The sequence below is a fragment of the Homo sapiens genome, chromosome 2 (assembly GCF_000001405.40).
Source record: "Homo sapiens chromosome 2, GRCh38.p14 Primary Assembly".
NCBI classification, from domain to species: domain Eukaryota; kingdom Metazoa; phylum Chordata; class Mammalia; order Primates; family Hominidae; genus Homo; species Homo sapiens.
This window is the reverse complement of record NC_000002.12, coordinates 72,127,125-72,148,758: the sequence shown is the minus strand read 5'-3', so window position 1 is coordinate 72,148,758 and position 21,634 is coordinate 72,127,125. Positions and strand designations below refer to the sequence as shown.

At 60.0% G+C, this 21,634-nt stretch overlaps 1 protein-coding gene across 6 annotated transcripts, besides 5 other annotated features; it reads left to right on the top strand.

The window, feature by feature from the left end:
• On the top strand, window positions 897–19,521 carry CYP26B1 (cytochrome P450 family 26 subfamily B member 1). 6 transcript variants are annotated; one of them, NM_019885.4, is made up of 6 exons: window positions 897–1,128; window positions 4,546–4,770; window positions 13,340–13,615; window positions 13,843–13,998; window positions 15,452–15,736; window positions 16,140–19,521. In NM_019885.4, the coding sequence occupies exons 1-6, from the start codon at window positions 925–927 to the stop codon at window positions 16,530–16,532; spliced, it is 1,539 nt and encodes a 512-aa protein (NP_063938.1). In that variant the 5' UTR covers window positions 897–924; the 3' UTR covers window positions 16,533–19,521. The 6 variants fall into 6 exon arrangements, with proteins under 6 accessions (NP_063938.1, NP_001264671.1, XP_047301075.1 ...); XM_047445119.1 differs by lacking the exon at window positions 897–1,128 and adding an exon at window positions 3,755–3,935; XM_005264433.5 differs by lacking the exon at window positions 897–1,128 and adding an exon at window positions 3,755–4,422.
• Window positions 1,008–1,509: an enhancer, noted in NCBI's record as "H3K4me1 hESC enhancer chr2:72374379-72374880 (GRCh37/hg19 assembly coordinates)". NCBI's record gives its function as "activates a minimal SCP1, AML or CMV promoter by ChIP-STARR-seq in primed H9 embryonic stem cells {active_cell/tissue: H9 hESC(primed)}" and the evidence as "EXISTENCE:reporter gene assay evidence [ECO:0000049][PMID:30033119]".
• Window positions 1,699–2,221: an enhancer, noted in NCBI's record as "H3K4me1 hESC enhancer chr2:72373667-72374189 (GRCh37/hg19 assembly coordinates)". NCBI's record gives its function as "activates a minimal SCP1, AML or CMV promoter by ChIP-STARR-seq in primed H9 embryonic stem cells {active_cell/tissue: H9 hESC(primed)}" and the evidence as "EXISTENCE:reporter gene assay evidence [ECO:0000049][PMID:30033119]".
• Window positions 9,078–10,041: an enhancer, noted in NCBI's record as "H3K27ac-H3K4me1 hESC enhancer chr2:72365847-72366810 (GRCh37/hg19 assembly coordinates)". NCBI's record gives its function as "activates a minimal SCP1, AML or CMV promoter by ChIP-STARR-seq in primed H9 embryonic stem cells {active_cell/tissue: H9 hESC(primed)}" and the evidence as "EXISTENCE:reporter gene assay evidence [ECO:0000049][PMID:30033119]".
• Window positions 11,970–12,933: an enhancer, noted in NCBI's record as "H3K4me1 hESC enhancer chr2:72362955-72363918 (GRCh37/hg19 assembly coordinates)". NCBI's record gives its function as "activates a minimal SCP1, AML or CMV promoter by ChIP-STARR-seq in primed H9 embryonic stem cells {active_cell/tissue: H9 hESC(primed)}" and the evidence as "EXISTENCE:reporter gene assay evidence [ECO:0000049][PMID:30033119]".
• Window positions 20,044–20,823: an enhancer, noted in NCBI's record as "H3K4me1 hESC enhancer chr2:72355065-72355844 (GRCh37/hg19 assembly coordinates)". NCBI's record gives its function as "activates a minimal SCP1, AML or CMV promoter by ChIP-STARR-seq in primed H9 embryonic stem cells {active_cell/tissue: H9 hESC(primed)}" and the evidence as "EXISTENCE:reporter gene assay evidence [ECO:0000049][PMID:30033119]".

Below are 21,634 nucleotides of genomic sequence, written 5' to 3'. Positions count from 1 at the left end.
CTTTTCTTAATTGATACAATAGCCCAGCTCGGGTTTTCCACCTCCTCCCCCAACCCCACCCCGCCTCACCCCTCCCGCCCGCTGCCGCCGCCGCCGCCGCCGCCGCCGCCGCCGCCGCCCCATCGCCCGCCCGGGGCTCTGTCGCCGGCTGCGTCCCGTCCCGGCCGCGGCCCGCCGGCTCCGCACCCGCGCTCGGGCCGCAGCGCCCGCCTCGCCGCCTCGCCCGCCGCTCCTGCCTCGGGGGTGCTGCGGCGGCTCTGGGGCTCGAGCGCGCCGCCCCGGGCAGCCCAGGGACTTTTAGGCTCCGGCCTCTCCACTCGCCTCAGCCAGGGAGCTTTCTCCCTCGCCCCCAAAGTTTCTGGGTTCGTTGGAATTTTTGGATTCAGGAATTTTTTCTTTTTTTCTTTTTTTCACCTAGGAATTTTGGGGCCATACTGCAATACTTTTGACAAATCGACCGCACTTTCTCTCTGCTAGCTCTCTGCCCCCTTCTTTTTTTCCGAGCAGGGGAAGGGGCTTACGAGAGAGAGGCTCCCTCTGGACAAAGTTTTCCAAAGTTTTCCGAGTGTGATGGTAGCGGGGAGAGCAAACCCACCAGCTTGACTCACGGCTTCATCTCACCACCCCTTGAGCAGCCCCTAAGCCCGCTATAAAGGAACAAACAAACAAACAAACAAACAAAGTTGCACCCCAGTCGCCTCGTGTTTCCTCTCTTCTTTTAGGCAATTTTTTTCCTCCCTCTCTCCGCTCCCCTCGCAGCCTCCACTCCCTTTCCCTTGGCCCCTTCCTCCTTCTCTGTTTCGGCTGGAGGTGCCAGGACCCCCGGCCGCAGCCTCCCCTCCCCCGCCGCTCCGGTCCCCTCCCGTCGGGCCCTCCCCTCCCCCGCCGCGGCCGGCACAGCCAATCCCCCGAGCGGCCGCCAACATGCTCTTTGAGGGCTTGGATCTGGTGTCGGCGCTGGCCACCCTCGCCGCGTGCCTGGTGTCCGTGACGCTGCTGCTGGCCGTGTCGCAGCAGCTGTGGCAGCTGCGCTGGGCCGCCACTCGCGACAAGAGCTGCAAGCTGCCCATCCCCAAGGGATCCATGGGCTTCCCGCTCATCGGAGAGACCGGCCACTGGCTGCTGCAGGTAAGGGCGCGCTCGCTCCGCTGCACTCCGGGGTCCGCTAGCTGCGAGCGCGGGGCAGACGGAGCGGCGGGCCGGCCAGGGGGCGCCGGGAGCCTGAAGGCACTGGTCCCCGCCCCGCCCCTTCCCTCCTCTCTGCCGCAGCAGCCCGGGCTTCCCCAGCCCGCCGGCAGCGCGGTTCCGGGACCACTGGCGCCCGCGGCGCAGGTTCAGGGGGCTGGTAAGAGGGGTTCCCGGACCTGAGGGGGCTCCCAAGATGGACTTGCCTGGGTCGCGGCTGGCCTGGCAGGGGGCGTGGAGCGCCCCGGGGGCGCCTAGCGAGGCGCGGTCCCGGGGGAGGGTCCGGTCCTGAGCCGCTTTCGCCTCCCCTCGGTGCTGCAAGCCCCCAGTCGCCCTCGGCTTTCTGGGGTTGGCTGTGTCGCTGGGAGCCGAAAATTGAGTCGGGAGAGGAGGGGGCTGGTGGCAGCTTGAATTGCCGATTTAAAACTGTGTTCCTGCGGCGCCGTCGGCAGCGCCAGGTACAGTGTCCCTGGTCCGCGGTCCGCGCGAGTGTGTCTGTTTTGTGGTGGAAGAGGAAGAAGGTAACCCAAGGAAAAATGAGAATCCAGGGCTCTAGGCTTTCGGGGAAAAGGGTCTATTTACTTATTGGGTGGGGACAGTTTGGCAGGAGAGGGAAACTTGGGAGAGGTGAGTGTGGGATCCATAGAGAGAGAGTGCGTGTGTGCTTGTTAGATGCCGCACAACCCCACTCTGCTGGTGATAACGGGGGTGAGGCGCGTCAGGGACCAGACCCAGGTAGGTAATGGGGAGATTAACCTGGAGTTCACCTCATCAAGTGCCAGACAATCGCTTTTGCAATGTGATACACACCGGTTTTCTTCTTGGGGTGGGGGAGCGGAGCGCCTCTGCAGTAACTGCGGGAGGTGTATTTGTGTGTACGCGCGTTTGTTCTGTTAGGGGAAGCAGGGATGTCCTGAAACTGACAATCCCCGCACTAGAGAGGTGAAGCGAAAGGTGAGCGCTGCGACCTGTGGGTTTACAGGTGCGAAAGCTTGGCTTGAAATTAACAGACGCGTGCAATCCGCGCGCTCGCGCACACACGCACTCACCCTGCCCCGGGACGAGTGACAGCGGAGCGGGGGCGGGGAGGGGGTTCGAAGTTCCTCTGCCCTGTGGTCTTTCCACGTCCCGGATTAGGCCCATCTCTTTTTGGGGTTGTTCGTGCAATGAGGTGGGGGTCCTTTCAACCAATGGATGTATCACCCCCCCACCCCCCGCAAAGAAATCCCCAGAGCCTTTCCCTCGCCACCACACTTAAAGTGTCAACTGCAGCGGTGCTCTAGGCTTTGGGCCGCGAATTTAGGAAATAAAATAACTTGGGCAACGGCTCCCGCCTTTTAGAGCCAGTCTGCTGAATCCACGGTCTGTCACCACCCACCCCCACTTCGTTTCCTGACCTCTCTGCCCCCCCTCAGGTCCCCATGACCTTTTCTCCGAATCCCACAAGAGCCCCTGGGGGTCAGCGTCCAACCTGCACAGAAGTTAGGGAGGAGGAAACCTAAGCCTCCCCATCCCTCCAACCCGGGGCCCTAGATCTGGAGGTGAGGAGGGAAATAGGGGGTACGTGTACAGGAGCGCCTAAGGGGTTAATGAGAGCCCTCTGAATCCCAGCGTTATTTTTTCGGAGTCATTTATCAGATTTTACGGGGGGACCTCCAAGGGCTCTCCGTTTCCACCGAGCGCCATCTAAACAGAGCCCAGGGCTAAAAATACAACATTTTTGTATAAATTGGACTCGCGGCCCGAGCGGCCGCCCCTATGAAAGTACTCTTTGTGAAGACCGTGGAAACGGCGGACAAATAACTCTTTATTAATGCCACAAAAAACGCACTTTAATTATAGTTAGGCAGATCAGAGGCGGGGGGTGGGGGCGAGGCGGCGGCGACCTCGGAAAATTCACAACCCAACTTTTGTGTTGAAAGAAAAGAAAAACAGAGGAAAAGAAGGAGAGGAAAGACGGAGAGTGAGACGGAGCGAGGGAGACGGGTATAGCAGACGGAGGGAGGGAAACCCTCGCCTCACCACCCCTTCTGTCGCACCCCACCTCCGCCTAGATTTTTCTTAAAGGGGTAGACGCCGTCTAGAAGGGCTGCACGGCAGGGGGAATTATCCCCGCCTTCCAGCCTGGGAGGGGGACAGCGTTCCCGCGGCCCAGCCCCCCTCCTGGCTGCGCGGGCGCTCCCAGCTCGTTCCCCGTCGCGCGCCGGGCCGGAGGCGCATGTGGAAAAGTGATTAGGGCTCCGGGTTCTGCAGAGTCACTTTTCGGCTGTACTGGCGTGTGTGCACATTTAGCTGGAAGTAGTTTTCTGTGGAAAAAAGGAAAGTGAGGAGGGGGACCAACCCGGGCTAGGGGGACTGAGTTGTCCCCTCGGGGGTGCAGGAGCGGGTAGATCTGGAGCCCGAGTCGGTACGCTCGTGGGCTGGCAGGCGGGGCGGCTAGACAGGTGGCGCCCCTCCCCTTTGCGCCGGGTGCTGCCCCGGCAGGAGAAGGGTTAACGTGGGGTGGGGTAACTAGTGCCGACGTCAAAGGTGAGCGGGACGCCCTTGCCCCCGCCCCTCTGAGGTCTCCACGGTTTCCGGTACCCGCGCCCGGCCGGCTCCGCCAGCCGTTTCGAGAGTCCGGCCGGCCCCGGCCCCGCCATCCTCGGCTTGCGCCGCCACCACCGGGGATCTGGTTACCTGCGCGGGTCGCCCTGCCCGGTCCCGCCCCGCCCCGCGCTCGGGTTCCAAACTCCAGGGCGGCAACCAAAGTCCGTCTCCGTTATTTCCAGGGCAAAATGCATTAGGAAAATCGCGGCTCTGGGCCCGTGACCCCGCCCTGCAGAGTCCTCCGAGGGCCGCCGGGTCCCTGCGCGGGCCACACCGGAGAGCGGAGGAAACTCCAACCCCCATCTGTAGTTGCTGCCTCCGGGCACCGACCGCTTACCGCTATAAATAATCTTTGGCCTGCGGCCACCCCGCGGGGTCTCGCCAGCCCGTGGCCCGGAGCCTGGAAATATTTATTCCGAGAGGCTCCCGAGCGCGGGGTGGGGGTGTGGGGGTGGGGGTGGGGGCGGAGACTCCCGCTTCGGGTCCAGCTGTCCGGGATACCTCTTTCCTCTCGAAAGTCATTACCAAAAAACAGCCTCCTGGGGGTGCCCCTGGGCCTCCGCCTCCTTGCATTATTTATTATCCTCTAGGCCCTACTTCGCAGTTCTTGTGCACGCTATGAAAAATAAAACCTGCGTGCTCGTCTGTGTGAGTGTGTTTGGTGGGGAGAGGGGGCAGGTGACTGTACCCCGGGTTGGGGTCCGCCGCCCCTCCCTCGCGGGCCCTCTGCAGAAGTGCACCCTGAGAGAGACCCGGGTGTGGCTCCCGCAGGGTTCTGGCTTCCAGTCGTCGCGGAGGGAGAAGTATGGCAACGTGTTCAAGACGCATTTGTTGGGGCGGCCGCTGATACGCGTGACCGGCGCGGAGAACGTGCGCAAGATCCTCATGGGCGAGCACCACCTCGTGAGCACCGAGTGGCCTCGCAGCACCCGCATGTTGCTGGGCCCCAACACGGTGTCCAATTCCATTGGCGACATCCACCGCAACAAGCGCAAGGTAAGAACTCTGCCCGTTTTCTTCCGCGCAATCCCTCCCCCACCTCGGGGCAAGGAGTTCCTGGAGCCCGGGGAATGTCCCCTACCGAATCTGTGCCCCCCTTTGCACACCATGCTTGAAGACTCCGCAGTTCCCCGCCGACAAGGCCTCGAGTCCGGATCCAGGGCCTGCTCCGGCCTCCTCTTGGTCCCTTTTCTTGCTGGCCGACTGCGTCATGGGCACCCCCAACGGTGGCTTGGAAGAGCTTGAGCGTGCGGGGTCTGGGGTGTCCAAAGCCTGTCCTTGCCTTGCTCCACAGAGCTGGAAAAAGAAGGGGGCGGGACAGTTGGCCGGCGTTCGCCTTTTCGCCACGTTTCCCAGGGAATTCCGAGGACTGGAGACCGATCATTCTAAAATCAAAGCTGTCCTTCCCACCACAGGCTGCTTGAAGGGAGTCGCGGGCAGGCGGCTGCGCGTGGAGGTTGGGGACAGCTTGTGGGCTGCGGTGGCGGGGCCTGGTCAGAGAGGTGCGGCGAGCCTGGGCAGCGGAGCGCACGGGTCTGGGCCGTGGGGGAAGGGCGGGCGGGGGGAGAGCAGGCGAGGCACGAGCGGGGATCAAAGCGCACCCACCCCCCCCCGAAAGAGGAAGGGAAAGTGGGTGTTTATCCCTTGGATTTCCCGAGCGACTGGAGGAGGCGCGGAGGAGGCGCGCACGGGACAGGCCCCCGCCCCTCCCGGCTGCGCTAGGCTCCCAGCGCTGGCGGCACGTGCTGTTTGAACTGCAGTAACCCGAAAGCGGAGCCAGCGGGCGGGCCCTAAGCCGCCGGGAGGGAGGCTGCGCGACCTCTCCCACTCCATTTTTTTCCACTGGGTCAGAGGACTCACCCAGGTTTGAAACCTAAGGAAAGGGAGAGGCAGCCCCCCGTCCCTGAGCGGTGGCAGACCGGGGAGGTGGGGAGGCGGACTCCCTCCGTCAGGGGCCGCATGTGCTGTGGTCTTGGCGAAGGTGGGGAGCGCTCTACTAGCCGACGCATCCTGTAGCACTTGACGTTCTCTGAACAGCCTGTGAAGGGTAATTCTTAACGGCAGACAAAAGAAGGAGCGGTCAAACCGAGGAGACTGGGTTGCATCCCTGCCCCCACCCCCGTTCCCTTATACAGCATGTATTTCAGGAACTGGAAAGGGGCTCCCAAAGTCCTCTCTTCCATCTGCCCCACTCCTAGCTGGAAGCAGTTACCACAGCCTGGGGGCGGCGGGAGAGGAGTTCTGGGGAGTGGCTGGAAGGGGCTGTAGGCTTCAGAATGAAGCCTCGGCTTTTCAAAGTTGCGGGCACTTATTTTTCCCTCAGCCTTTGCGACTCCACCAGAGGCCCATTCCAAAGAGCGAGGAGAGTGGAGACTCGGCTCCAAAAGAGATGGCTGCTTCCTGATCTCTGCTTTACAGAGGCTTTGGCCAGAGGGGTATTATTGTCCCCTTTTCATGGAAGGGGCCACTGAGGCGTAGAGCGGTTGAATGAGACTTGAACCAGGTCAGGAGACAAAGAAAATTTCGGGGAGAGCCTGCAACACTGGACTGCAGCGTCCGTGGGAATAGTCTCTGGGCCCCGGAGGAGAGTCCTCTTCTGTCCTGCATGCCTGGGGCTGCTGGAAGCTGGGGTGGACAGTGAGTGCTAGGAGGAAGGAGGTGTGGCCAGGACCAGAGTGTGAGACCCTGGGGTGCAGAGGGCTTTGGGGTGAGGGCGTTGTCTTGGGGTTCCACCCACCCTGGGCCTGACTTGGCCTCGGGCCTCCCGGTGTTGGCTGGGAAGGGCTTGCCTGGAAAACCCCAAGGTTTTTTGGCCTACATTGTCCATTTAGAGGGGAGGGAGAAGGAAGGGAGGGTGCAGATGACCCGCCTCAGGAATGCGGTGGGGGGAAGGGGGGATGCTGGGGTTGGGGTCGGGGCAGAAACTGAGAGCCTTGGCTGAGGCGCGATGGCTCCCTATTCAGAACAGCCGGTCTTTTAGCTCCCTGGGGGTGGGTGGGGAGTCACCAGAAGCTGGTTCATCCTGCCAGAGGCCTGAGAGCCAAATGCAGGGCCCCCTCTTTGTGTGTAGCAGTTTTATGCTTGCCACGTGGGGCATGTTGGTGGGGAGGGTCGAATGAGAAATGGGTAGTCAGCCAGATGAAAGGATCCTTCCCCCCAAATCTCCCTAACTGATGATTTCAGTTTACTGAACTCCATGAAAGTCCTGGAACTAGGTAGGTAGAATCTAGCTGGAGACTAGAACACTCAGGGCCACTGTTTCTAAATATCCATGATTGTCCTGGAGAGAATGGCTCATCTGCTGAACCCAAGGCCCGGTGAACTCACTGTGGCCAAGGTGGGGGCTGCTGTGTGCCATGCACACCTCTTTATCCGGTCCATGCTGCAGTTAGAGGCCTGGCTGCAGTGTGGGCTGCTGGGCCAGGACTGGCCTGGTTAGGAGGTACGTGCAGGAAGTGGGGCCCAGGTGTGCTGGGGCCTGGCTGGTGGGGAACTGGAGCGTCACTGTTTCCATTGGGGCTGGTGGCCCACCCCACCTCTGGGAGGTCTGACCAGATGTGTTGGAGGGGGCTTCTCACTGCCGTCACTGCACTCCAGGTGTTTGCCCTGGCTGCCCTGGTGGTCCTGGGCCAGCAGGGGTGGGGTTGCCAGGGAAAAAGTCCAGAAAGTCTTGCCCAGTCTAACAGAATCATCTCTGGAAGCCAGGCCTGTGTCCTTGCAGCCAGGGCCTCAGACTCCCTCCCTCCTCCTGGGTTACCCTTCCCCTGCCCAGGGCCTGGGGTGTATCTGATGGATGGGGGAGGGACCCCATCCCTCTTTGTGTGTAGAGAGGCTGGAGTATTGCCGTAGAAGGGCAGATGGAGTCTGGTTAGGAAGGTGGGGGTGAGACAGTTGTCCAAAACATGGAGAAGGAGCTAGAGAATGGTTCTAGAAGCTTCCTGTGCCCAGCTCTACCCACCAGGATTGGGCCTCTCCTATTTTCCTTTGGAGATAGGACTGGACCTCAGTGCACCAAGAGGCCAGCAGCTCAGGGCACCCCAGACAGTGGCCTGGAGATACCCTCAGGGAACCTGGAGAGTATTTCAAGGGAGGGACTTAGCCTTGGACTGGGGAGACCTCAGGAATGGTAGTCTTGCCCCTTCTACCCAGACCCCTGCCTACAGGACCTTCTGGGCCTGAAGCCAAGGTGGGGGACTAGGCTTTGGAGGTAGAGGTCAAGAAACCCTGCCTGTCCACCCACCATCCCTGACCTTTGGCCCCATCTTGGAAACCCTGTGCTCCTGGGGTCTGTGTTGGGATGGAGAAGCGAGGAGGTGCCTCAGCAGGAGGACGGTGTCAGGAGGACCCACGGTTGTGGGGTCCCGGGGAAGGCTAGCCCACACTTGGCTCTAGGAGGCATTTGGACCAAGGCACAGCCTCTGGCTACACAGTCATGTCCACCAGGCTCAGCTCAGGGCAGAAGGTCCAACCTGCGTTGGATGAAAGGCCAGTGGCACAGCCAGGCAGCTCTGCTGCTGGGAGCTCTGCCCCAGCCCCTTGGCATAGGCACAACGCCTTTGTTCTGCCAACACAAGTCCTTCACCCAAAAGTTACTGTAGCACCAGCGGGTGGGCACAGGGGCTGCTGAGGGGGGCGGGTAGCAGGAGCGGATCTATCTGAAGGTCAGTGGGGGAGGGAGCCCACGGTCAGCTGCCAGGGTGCCTGGGAGTGGGCACCTCCCTCTGCATGCCCTTGTGCCAGGCAGCGGGAGGGTGGGCGGCCTGGATTCAGGGGCCAGCCCTTCCGTCTGTCCCTCCTTTCTGTGTCCTTCTCCCAAGGCAGGGAGGGGTCCAAGGCTGTGGTGCTGATGTGTTTGCTCACTCTCCCAGCCTTGGAAGATGAAGGTGGCCTTGGCAGGGAGTGGGAAGGCTCGGTGGGGTCTGCCCTGGCCCTGGGCCCCCCATGCTGGCTGCTGTATCTGTCCTGGGTTCCCTAAGCCTAAAAGGAAGCAGCTGCAGGACCCTGAGACATGCCGGGACCACACCAGAGTGGCGGGGACAGCTGGCCTCACCCTCAGAGTGGACTTCACCGTAGAGGACGATCCCCTTCAGGACCCTTTGATAAATTCAGAGCCCATCAGGGCTGGCAGAGGGCAGCTCTATGGAGTCTGGGGTGGTGGGAGGCAGGGAGTTCAGGACTTCTGGTGGGTGTGGCCAGCCACGCTCTGGACTGTGACCTTGGGAGGGCCCCTACCCATCCACAGCTTTCTAAGGCGGGTTTGTGGTGGCTGGAAGCAGCAGAGGTAAGAGTGGCCAAGCAAATCTCAGATACTGTGGCTCGGCAAGTGTCTGCCAAGTGCTGCCCGCCCCTCCCTGTCTTGCCCACCTTGTGCTGTAGGTATGTGTGGAAGAGTTAGGGCAGTGGGGAGCATGTCTCCAGGTGAGATGATCACAGCTGGAGTCAAATCGCAGGCAGGCGCTTTGCTCCAACCGCTGGAGCCTGTTGGGGGTCTGGGCCAGCCTCCTCGCAACCAGAGGGGCTGAGTGTACCCAGCCCCACACACCCAGATTGGACATTTCCAGTTCTGGGTGAAGCTGCCTGGCATTTCCACTGGGCCAGGGTGAAGCTGAGGCAGCCAGGCAGCTGGGAAGATGACGTCCTCTCTTACCCCCCTTGCTTGAATATAAAGTACACACCTTGGCGTCACCCCTGTGCGGACGGCTGCCTCAGCGGCTGCCTGCCCTCTGTTATTCTTTCCACTCTGCAGGCCGAGGCTCCGGTGGCTTGGCCGGGTGGCCTGCCCAGGCCCCCACCCCTCCTGGGCAGCCGCTTCCATTCCTCCCAGTCTGAGTCACTGGCCTGGGCAGTGGGTCCCCACTCCGGCTCTACCCGCTCCTACTGCCCATCCATATGTCCATCTGTCCACACCTGCCAGCAGAGAAGGGGGAGGCTATCTGGCTGAGCAAGCGCAGCACGCAGGGCCATGGGGTTCACAGAGCAACTCCCCTCCCAGGGCACGGGGTGAGAGGCAGGAGGGGTGAGGAGGCCTGGTTGGGGAGAATGCTTTTGTAGAAACAATGATAGGGAATCTGAGCCTTCACGAGCCCCTGGCGGTACCCCTAGACCCTTGTGGGATCAGCTCCCACTCTGGAGGGAGGGAGAGAACCAAGGGTGTAGACTCATGAGCCTATTGTGTCCTTGGGGGCTTGGCAGGGGAGTTGCCCAAGGCCATCCCTTAAGGCGAGTGCCCTCCTCCCTCCTGCCTGAGCCTCTGGGGCTGCAGCAGGTAAACCTGGACATGCGCTCCTGGGCTCCTGTGACAGTGCCCTTGCTCTCCCCTGGCACCAGCCGTGGTGGGGAGTCCATACCTGCCACTCCCTCTGCAGGGCTTGGCCTGAGCCTGGGCTGGCTCCCAGTGACCTTTGTCCAGCATTCTTGGCTGACTTTTGGGAATTCCGAGGGAAGCCCCAGAAGGAAACAAAGCAGTCGTGGCTCCTGCGATGCCTGTGGTCAGGGAAGTAGCTCCGGGCCAGGAACCCTTCCTCTCTTCACAGGGAGCCGCTCCCCGGCACCTTCCCAGTGTGCCCGAGTCCTGACCCCAGCAGGTGATGGCCTCAGACCCAGCCCGCCCTGACGCCGCCCTGGCCGCCCTCTGCCCCAGCCTGCGCCTCTGCCTCCGCCCATCCTTTGTGGTGGGCGGTGGTTTCAGAGCTGCCCCGGCTTTGGGAAGTGCCTGTGTTGTTACCCCCCGGGCACAGACCCAGGGATGAGGCTCTGGAGGCTTCCCAGGGCCTGGGAGGCCCCTATGTCTGTGGAGCAGCTGGGCAAGAGGCAGGGGCATGGACCTGGTGACCTCTGAGCCCAGCCCCTTGGGGCCAGTGTGCCCTCCACCCATCTTTGCTGGCCTTCTCATTTGGGCGGTTTCTCCATCTCACGGTGGGCTCTGAGGAGCGTCACGGACAGCCTGGCAGAAAGGCCCTCAGAATGGCCAGTCGGGCCTCTCATGAACCCAGCGGGGAAACAGCTCCAGGAGGGGCAGCAGCCTGCTGGCTGTCACTCAGCAAGTCAGACGCCGGCCAAGACAGTGTCCTGGTCCTGCCTTCACTTTCCTTTTAGAAGCCCCAGCCTCAGGGGCCTGCAGGTGCTGGGTGGCAGTGGCTTTTCCGGCTTATTCTAGCTCCTGGCCTTGCCCATGGACCCCTTCCCCCCAGGGGTCAGGTGTGGACCCCTGCCCTTGGAGTCCTTCTCTCAGTCCAGTCCCAGGTCCCCCGGGGCCCTTCTCTCTTCCTAGACTGCTCCTGCCTGCCCTCTAGGGCCCCCAAGGCCTGGGAAGGAGCAGTTCAACCAGCCATCGCTAGAGGGCGCAGGAAATGGAACCCACGGGGCAGGGCAGGGCAGGGCTTGTCTGTGGGTGAGGTGGGGGCCCTGCGTGCTCCCCCTTTTGAAACCCTGGGATGGCCCCTCCTGGCCACTATGGCCCACGTGGGGTGTGTGAGTAGGGGCTGGAAGGCACTCCCCAGGGGATTCGAGCATTGCCAAGTTCTGGGCAGCTTTGAAGGGATAGCATCTGCTTAGGGGCAGGTGGGTGCTGGTGTTTAGGTGCTCAGTGGATTGAAGGGAGGCCATCTGGTTCCACCTCACTGTTTTACAGATGAGGAAACTGAGGCTTGGGGGAGCAGATAGCCACTTGGCCATGATCACACTGTAAGTTGCTGGATGATGCACAGTTACAACTCAGCCCCTTTCCTGTCACCCCACTGCATCATAGAGCCCACCAGCTTCGACTTTGGCTGGGCCTGGTGGGCGTGGCCTCCAGGGCACCGGGTGAGAGGCAGGAGGACCAGGTCTGCCATGTGCTGGGGGCCCTGGCCAGCCCCTACCCTGCACTCTTCGTGACAGAACCCCTAGTAGGTCCTGGGCTGGCTGTTTCTGGGCCAGGTATGACCTTTCTGGCCCTCCCTGTCCCACCTCTGGCATCCCTGTCCCGCCATGGAGGCCTGGTAGCCGCAGAGTGATTTTCCTGCCCCTGTCTTGTTTCCTGATGCACTTTTCCCTCCTGTGTGCTACTCTCTGCCCACCCAGTGGCTCTCTGCTATCTGTAAGGGGCCCTTCATTGGCCAGCGCTGGTCTCTAGAAGAAGTGCCCCCTCTCATTCCCCCAAGACCCTTCATTTGCCCAAGGGCTGAACCTGGAATCCTAAGGACATGAGGGTTGGGGGTTGAAGCAAACAAGCATTGCCTTTATCCATCACTCTCTGAAGGGAGGCAGTAGTTAGAGTCCCCTGGAAATTCCCTCGGACCCCCAAAACTGGGCAAGGTGTGAATGACCCATCTGGGCTTGGGCTGACCCAGGCGACCTCCTATCGTCCTTCTACCTCTCAGCTGTCCCTTTGTAGCAGGAGCGGCCCCAAACAGTACAGGCCTCTCTGCCCCTCGCCGGCCTCCTGCCCTCCCTCCTTCCCTCCACCGGGAATTTCGGAATGAAAGTGCTATTGTGAATGCCTGGCTGGGCCACTGAAGGGCCAGCACTGTTATTTCTGCAAACCAGCCCTCCCATTAGCCATGCAGGGCCTAGGCCAGGAAAATGTTACCTTTCCTCCCCGAGCTGACTGCAGGGGAAATTCTCACATTTACAGTTTATGCGGTGGTTGTGTTTGGGGGGGCAGTAGGGGAGGGCGGCGCGTGTGTGTGGTTTGCATGGGGTGGAGTGGGGGGCTCCCTCTTCTGCACTGTCCCTCCCCTCCCAGCCTTTGCTTGGTGCTGGTAGCAGGGGTGCTCCCCCTTCTCATCTGAACTCTGGTGGGATGGACGTTGCTGCTTATGAGCGAGACCCACAGGCTTTTGGTAAATAAACTAACGTGCTCCCCTCTCCTCCACACATGAAAACCTGTGCGGGGGAGTCCTGGGTGAGGAGGGTGGCAAGGGGGGCTGCGCAGCCAGCCGGGAGGACGGAGGACAAGGAGGTGGAAACAGGACTCACTGGCTGCGTACAGTGGCCCTGGAAGATGCAGGGAAGTCACAGGGCTTCTGTTTGTCTTTATGATCTTTAGGGGTGGAAAGCCATTGCCCCCATCTCCCCCTGCTTTTGGACCTGGCCACACTGAAGACCTTTTCATGGCACAGCTGTTAATAAACTTACTAGAATCTGCACCCAGTAGGTGTTTTCCAGCAAGTAATGACAATTTTGGTTCCCAGGAAGTCCTGCTTGAGGTCTAGTCTCAGGCTCTCTTGCTGTACCCCATGGAGTAGCTTTCCCTCGATGGCCTTCCCCTACTTCCCTGTACAGTCCAACGACTGTGCTCCACTTCTCCAGGGCACTTCCGTCCTGTGTCCCGGGATTCCGAAATGGGCTTCTGCAATGGAAGGGCAGCCGCCCTGCTCTGGCCCTGCCCAGCCCCCACTTATGCCCCTCACAAGCCACATCCCCCAAAGACTTGCTGGCAGCTGGCCTGCCCAGCTCCCAAGGCTTTGCTGTTGTGTGGAAGCTGAAGTTCTCTCCAGTCACATTCATTGTTCAGGCAGAGTGAGGGGCTGGCCAGGGGTGGGCTGTGCCAATCGGCTCACCCACTTGCCTCTCTGCCTTCCAGGTCTTCTCCAAGATCTTCAGCCACGAGGCCCTGGAGAGTTACCTGCCCAAGATCCAGCTGGTGATCCAGGACACACTGCGCGCCTGGAGCAGCCACCCCGAGGCCATCAACGTGTACCAGGAGGCGCAGAAGCTGACCTTCCGCATGGCCATCCGGGTGCTGCTGGGCTTCAGCATCCCTGAGGAGGACCTTGGGCACCTCTTTGAGGTCTACCAGCAGTTTGTGGACAATGTCTTCTCCCTGCCTGTCGACCTGCCCTTCAGTGGCTACCGGCGGGTGAGCACCCAGGGCCTGGGAGGAGAGGAGCAGGGGCATCCATGAGCCCCCTCTCTGGGGGTGGGTGGCTGACCTGACCCCTGAGATGGGCACCTAGGCACAGGGCACATGGACAAAGGGGAGAGGTGTCAGCGTGGGGTAGGAGGAGGCTGGAGTCGTCCCTGGTGGTCCCGAGGCTCAGATGGGAGCCTGCCCTTCCATATGAGTGACAGCCCTCACCTCTGCAGGGCATTCAGGCTCGGCAGATCCTGCAGAAGGGGCTGGAGAAGGCCATCCGGGAGAAGCTGCAGTGCACACAGGGCAAGGACTACTTGGACGCCCTGGACCTCCTCATTGAGAGCAGCAAGGAGCACGGGAAGGAGATGACCATGCAGGAGCTGAAGGTGGGGTGGGCGTGTGCCCCTCACGGGCAGCACCAGCACCCAGGCTCCATTCTGAGCTTTCCCTGGGTGGAAATGTGCCCAGCCATTTCTACCCCCTGTAGTCTGGCCCCACACATGCTTTCTGAGCAGTGGCTGGAGACCTTGAAACTGGAAGCGAAGTCTGTGTCCCCACCCCTGCTGTGCAGGATGCCGTGGGGCACCCTCCCTTCTCTCCCCATGGCCTGCAGGGAGCTCAGGCCTGGGAATGATCTCAGTTCATTTCCTAGTCCCAATATCCCTGGAAGGCCATCTAGGGAAAGGCAGGCCCACAAGGGGAAACCACTTGCTTGTCACCAGCCTCAGCCCTTGGGGAAGAGCAGGGGAGATTTGGATGTGAGGTATCCTCCCCCACCCCCAGCCTTTTCAGGTTGCTGGCGCCTTGCATGCCCTCCCACCCTCCCCCCCGCCCCCTAGGCCCCTGGGGATCCCGGCTGTGCTCCACGCAGGACCTGCTTGCCCTGCTTTAGGCGGATGTTTCACCCGAGGAGGGCTCACTCGCCCATCCCCACCTGGGCTCTGCAGGCCTGCTCCACTGCTGGGTGCCCATGGACACTCACTGCAGCCTCCCCTGCCCACTATCTTTGCCTCCCCATATTCTAGCTCCAACTTCTTTCCTGGGGAGCTAGGAAGAGCTGGAGTGGCTTTTCCACTACAAGAAGCTTTGTGATTTATGGATGTTGCCATGGCCAGTAATGGACCCAGGTCCCTTCATTGCCCTCTCTGGGCCCAGAGTCCACATTTGTAAAATGCAGGGTGTGCTATGAGATAGCCTGCTGGGGCCTTTCTGTGGGGAACCCATGGCCCTGGTGTCCTGCTCCCCAGAAAGCCCTGGCGGGGTCTTTAGGTCCTCTGGGGGTCGCCTTCCCTCAGCCTCATCCCAGGTCTCCAGGGGAGTGGCCCCAGGCTCCCTCCCAGACCCCATTGGCTCCCCTGATCACCCACTGAATGTCCTCCTCCTGCGATGGAGGAAGGGGCTGGCACTGGGAGTGGGAAGGCCCGGGTTTAGACTCACATCCCCCACACATACACACGCACACCTGCTGCGCAGGGCCTGGCTCCTTGGGATTTGTTCTTTTTCTCCTGTGAGCCCACTGCATATCAGGCCTGTGGGGCTGGCCCAGGAACCCAGCAGTGAGTGAGAAGTGGCTCCACTCCAAGGGACTCTAGGCCAGTGCTTCTGCCCTCGGTCACAGCAGTTGTGTCTTCTGCCCAGCTAGGGACTGGCTGTGACCCCCGTGTCCATCGTGACACTAATGCCCCGGCAACATGAAGCTCAGAGGAAGCAGAATTCACTGCAGGAACCAGGCAGGGCCCAGCACAGATGACCTGGGCACACGGGCCACTGACTGAATGGGGCGGCCCCTGCCTGGCTGAACCCACACCTCCAACAACACCTCTCCTCTGTGCCCTGCAGGACGGGACCCTGGAGCTGATCTTTGCGGCCTATGCCACCACGGCCAGCGCCAGCACCTCACTCATCATGCAGCTGCTGAAGCACCCCACTGTGCTGGAGAAGCTGCGGGATGAGCTGCGGGCTCATGGCATCCTGCACAGTGGCGGCTGCCCCTGCGAGGGCACACTGCGCCTGGACACGCTCAGTGGGCTGCGCTACCTGGACTGCGTCATCAAGGAGGTCATGCGCCTGTTCACGCCCATTTCCGGCGGCTACCGCACTGTGCTGCAGACCTTCGAGCTTGATGTGAGGCTGGGCCCGTGGCACCGGGGGCGATGGGGGAGCAGGGGCACCGGGATAGGGGCAAGGCGGGGCACCAGCCTCCATTTCAGGGACTTCAGGCCTGATGGGGAAACAGTGCTTGCTTTCAGGGAGCTTTCAGTCCGATGGGAGAAGTGCGCCCCAAATGCATCAGGTGAAGCCAAGTTGGGTGTCATATGTGAAGTCACATGTGCACATCTACAGATAAGGGCTTGGACTAACATGCTGAATGGGGCAGGCTGGCCAGGCCTTGGGGGCCACAGTGGGGTGTCTCTAAGAAAAGGCAGGTCTTGAACATCTGGGGCTGAGCAGGGAGGGGGCAGTCCTGGGCCCTCTGTGGGCTCCTCTGGCTCTCACCACCCACTCCTCGGCCCCCATCTTGCTCCAGGGTTTCCAGATCCCCAAAGGCTGGAGTGTCATGTATAGCATCCGGGACACCCATGACACAGCGCCCGTGTTCAAAGACGTGAACGTGTTCGACCCCGATCGCTTCAGCCAGGCGCGGAGCGAGGACAAGGATGGCCGCTTCCATTACCTCCCGTTCGGTGGCGGTGTCCGGACCTGCCTGGGCAAGCACCTGGCCAAGCTGTTCCTGAAGGTGCTGGCGGTGGAGCTGGCTAGCACCAGCCGCTTTGAGCTGGCCACACGGACCTTCCCCCGCATCACCTTGGTCCCCGTCCTGCACCCCGTGGATGGCCTCAGCGTCAAGTTCTTTGGCCTGGACTCCAACCAGAACGAGATCCTGCCGGAGACGGAGGCCATGCTGAGCGCCACAGTCTAACCCAAGACCCACCCGCCTCAGCCCAGCCCAGGCAGCGGGGTGGTGGTTGTGGGAGGTAGAAACCTGTGTGTGGGAGGGGGCCGGAACGGGGAGGGCGAGTGGCCCCCATACTTGCCCTCCCTTGCTCCCCCTCCCTGGCAAACCCTACCCAAAGCCAGTGGGCCCCATTCCTAGGGCTGGGCTCCCCTTCTGGCTCCAGCTTCCCTCCAGCCACTCCCCATTTACCATCAGCTCAGCCCCTGGGAAGGGCGTGGCAGGGGCTCTGCATGCCCGTGACAGTGTTAGGTGTCAGCGCGTGCTACAGTGTTTTTGTGATGTTCTGAACTGCTCCCTTCCCTCCGTTCCTTTCGGACCCTTTTAGCTGGGGTTGGGGGACGGGAAGAGCCGTGCCCCCTTGGGCGCACTCTTCAGCGTCTCCTCCTCCTGCGCCCCCACTGCGTCTGCCCAGGAACAGCATCCTGGGTAGCAGAACAGGAGTCAACCTTGGCGGGGCGGGGGCTGCGTCCAACCTGGAGATTGCCCTTCCCTATGCCACGGTTCCCACCCTCCCTCACCAGTTTGGACAATTTGAAATTACCTATTGCTGCTACTTGTTCTGTCCTCTGACCTTGGGGCAAAGGAGCCCCAGGCCCTGTCTCCCCAGCATCCTCCCTGGTGGCCCTGGGCAGGTGCACTGACACCCCCACCTTCCCATCCCCTGCTGAACCAGGCCCTGTTACACACAGCCGCCTAAGGCCCGCGGCTCATGTGCTGCCCGCCCCCATATTTATTCACTGATAGAGAATCTTGGGGATGCTGGGGTCTGGAGTGAACATCTCCTCCCCTTCATGCCCTAGCCTGTGTTCTAGCTGTCCTGGCGAGACTTCTGTGAGTGAAGAGGAAGGGGTCTCTGGTCAAACCCAGCCCCCAGGGCCTAGGGTTGAAAGCCTTCCCCGGCTCCGGGCATTATTTGGGTTTAATCTCGGAGCCTCACTCCTGGACTGAAGTCCGGTGCCTCTGCCTTATCCCTGGTGGAGATGGAATGTGGCCCATTGCCTCCTCCCTCTCCTGTCAAAAACCCTGATCAGGTAGATTTGGAGGCGGCCACGATTTCCTGTTTGGCCCCTGTTCACCCCAGTGCACTGGCCCTGACTCCAGGCGTGAGTATGGGGAAGGATACGGGTTCTTCTGACGGGGAGCAAGGGCCTCCGTCTTCCCTTCCTTAACTCTCCCCCTTTGCCCTCCGCCCTGAAAAAGGTGTCCTTGAAGTCCCTTCCACCTCTATGCCACTGTCTGCTTAGCCCAGCTCAGGGGTGGGGAAGAGGCGAAAGCGTGGGGGAGGTGAGCGCAGCGGCAGTTCTGCCTCGGAGCTGATTGCAGGGCCCTGTGTGGTCTCCGGACAGCTGCGGGAAGGCTGCCGCAGCTGAAGCTGAAGAGGCGGCTACGTGCGGTTTGTCAGGGGGATTGGGTTGAAAACTGGCCAGTCGGGATGACTGGGTGAAAGAGGAGTAGCTCCTGCCACTGGCGTTTTGAGTGTTGGCAATTTGGGATGCCTCCTGGGGAAGGTTTCCGGGCGTTTGGTGAGTCTCTAGATTTTTCCTTGCTTTCTGTGTTTATTGGTTTTTGATGTTGTAAAAGCAATGAATCCCCTTTACAAGAAAATCGAAAACACAGAAGAATGAAGGACATGCCAGTCCCCGATCGCTGCTGTGAGCACCTCAGTGGCTCCCTCAGACCAGATCCCGTAGGCAGCCCCACAGACCGACCCTGACCCCACTCACAGCCACCCTGAAGATAGACTATAGGAACGGGCCCATACCACACAGACTGCTCTCCAATCCCTGAGTCTCAGATGTTTCATTTATTTCCTACTTTTCCACTACTAAAAAACAGTGTGGAATAGACATTATTGGCAAAATTGCTCATCCCTAATCCTGAAAAACAGGCCAGAATGGGTAAAGACTTGTCAAAGCTTGCAACATAGCTACATGGTGCACCCGGACCTGTACCCCCTCCCCCCAACACAAAACCAGTGTCTGGGAGGTTCATTTTCCTTTAAACTGATCCAGCTGGCCCTGAACCAATTGTTTTTGACTGAGTATCTAGGAGAGCAGTAAGTGGAACTTCAGACAAGCCCACTGGGTCTGGTCCAGGTGAGGGGCAGGGGGCATGGGGCTGGGAGGTCTCAGGGGCCTTCCCTGGGGGTGGCCAGCCTGGTAGGGGGCAGAGAAGGAAAAGCTGAGGGGGGTCCCTGTGAGGGAGGAAAGAAGGATCATTTGCCCCGCTGGGTCTCAAAGGCAGTGAGAAGAGAGCTGAAGAAAGCTCTGGCTGGCTGACAGGATCCCTGTGTTGTAATTGGTCCCTCCTTTCAGCTCTCTAGTGAGATGCCCGTGTCTGTGCGTGTGCGTGTGTGTTTCATACAGCTAGCATTAGATGGGTGATGTTTCTTACTTATCATCCCTAACTATTGCAACTTGACCTTAAAAAGACAAAACCCCACAAAACTCTTCCTGCCACGGGCTTGCAGATTGAAGCACTTTCGATGTTGGGCGCTGGCGTTTGTGTTCTGGGCACCACCGTGACCCTGCCCAGATGGCTATAATATTATTTTATACACAAACCTTTTTTTTCATAAATGTTATAATTTTGTGTCTGTCTTTATAAACTATTATAAGTACTATTTTTGTTATAATTCAAAATAGATATTTAGTATAAAGTTTTTGCTGTTAAATATTTGTTATTTAGTAAAATATGAATTTTGCTCTATTGTAAACATGGTTCAAAATATTAATATGTTTTTATCACAGTCGTTTTAATATTGAAAAAGCACTTGTGTGTTTTGTTTTGATATGAAACTGGTACCGTGTGAGTGTTTTTGCTGTCGTGGTTTTAATCTGTATATAATATTCCATGTTGCATATTAAAAACATGAATGTTGTGCATTTTGTGATTTTGGAAATACTCAATGTGGCTCTTCTATAGGCTTCTAGAATAAACCGTGGGGACCCGCCCTTGTCTCCGTTGCGTCTCTGCTCTCTGCCTTCCCAGCCTTACTGAAAGAGTCCTCCCCGGCTACCTGTGTTCACATCAGCAGTGCCCATCCACCTTGTCAGTTAGGAAGCTCTTCCCTAAGACCGTCCCGTGAGGCCAGTTCGCCATTCCTTGCATGCGGGCACAGAGGTCTGTGACAGAGTCCTGGGAGGAGGAGGTTCCCTGGGGAGGGAGAGAGAGAACCGGTCAGCCTATTGGGGGAGGGGCAGCTGGGAGGATGCTCCGAGTGTGGCTGTGGCTGGCTGTGCCAGGTGTTTCGAGGCTGGACAGGGGGACCGAGAGCTCTGAGCCTGTCTTGTTAACTTGAGTGAGGACACTGATGTTCACAGTCACGTGGCAAATTAGGGAGCAGAATTCAGTTCTTCTGACGTCTGGGCTCGCGTCCCATGCCAGCACTTCTCAAAGCCTGTTTCATGGGTGTTGTGGGATCAGATAGATTCCATGATCAAATGAGTTTGGGAAATGGGTTAAACACAGTCATCCCGGTTCCCCTTCTGCAGGCCTTGTCAGAACCCTGAGCCCCAGGATGTGTAGCCTCAGGGGCAGTAGAGTGTGGGGTGAACACAGGCTGCAGCATTCTCCAGGCCTATTTGAGGACTGAAACCCTGTCCTCTTTCGCCGATGATCACATTTCATGGAAAGATCCACAGCCTGACTGTCACAGAGGCCTGAGGCGAGGACCCGTGATGGGCACGACTTTCAGTGCTGAGAAAACCCCAGGTGGTTCCCGGGATTGAGGGGCTGTGGGTGGGGAGGGAGGGCAATGAGAGACAGAGCTTCGGCCCCTGGAGCTGCACACTGGGAACCGGGAAAGGCTGCAGCGTGACCAGGCTGGCCCCAGCCTCTGCCCCGCCCGGGTCCCATCCCCATAGCCTGAGGGGGAAGGCCCACCCCTGAGCTGACCTGAGAAGAGCCTTTTTGCGGCTGCAGCGTTTCTTTTCCATACAGTCAGTCAGACCCAACCTCAGCTCAGAGCACGCTGGCCCAGGCACACCCTGGGGTGTAGGGCCTCGCTCTGCCTAGGTCTCGGAGCCTGGCCACCCAGAAGAGAAGGACCCAGCATTGAAGCAACGTCACCAGAGCAGAACGCTCGGCAACCCTAACCCCAGCTCACCTGCTCTGGCGTCTGTTCTGCCTCACCTCTCCTCCGCACTGTGACGCTGCCCCAGTCCTCCACTCTTCCCAGGGTGGGGAAAGGGGCAGGGGGACTTCCCTTAAGTCACAAAAAGCAGAAGGTAGTACTGGTGGCCTGCCCCACCCGCACATGCCCACTCCAAGGGGCTCCCTCGGACAGAGGCCCCCAGGGTCCTGAGAAGCAGTGAAAAGCCCCAGCTTCCGCAGGGAGTCGTGCCAGGAAAGGCGGTTGTTTTCCAGAGAGTAAATTCCATCCCTCCTGGTGGAGTGTCCCGTGTGGCAGCAGAGGCAATGAAAGCATGGTCCCTGGGCTGCCCTCGGCCTGACCACCCTGCTCAGGGTAGGCGGGCCCAGCTGGGCAGGCGGCTGGCCCTGTCATCACTTAGGCTGTCCTTGCCTCTCCCCCATGGGCCCAGTGGGTCAATGACGTCCCTGACACGGTCGCCTACCCGCGGGATCTCCCAGCCTGGAAGGAGAACACAGACCACTGTGGACAGGCAAACATGGACTCTGTTTGTCCAGGGATTGGGGCGCCAGTTTGGAGGGCACTCGCAGACCGCACATTCTGCCACCTCCCTGCACTTTTCCAAAACAGCCTGGTCTTGGCTGGACCGGGTTGCCCAGGGTGGCCAGGGCTGGGAGCCAGGAACAGAGCCGGGGAAAGCAGGGCTAGGGGACCAGCGTGGGGGGTAACCAGGTGAAGACAGAGACACCACTTTGCTGGTTCTGCTTAGTTCTGACATGCCTTGGAGGGGGAGACGGAGAAGCAGGCAAGAGGGGAAGAGGGAGAGAGGGGCAGATGAAGAGAGAGGGAGAAGAGAGGGGGAAAGGAGGTACAAAAGTGAGGAGACGGGGAGGAGGAGGAAAGAGAGAATGCCCACGTCTGGCCTCCCAGGAGATTCTTATTCCAGCCCCTTCAGCTTTGGCCTCCTCCCTGT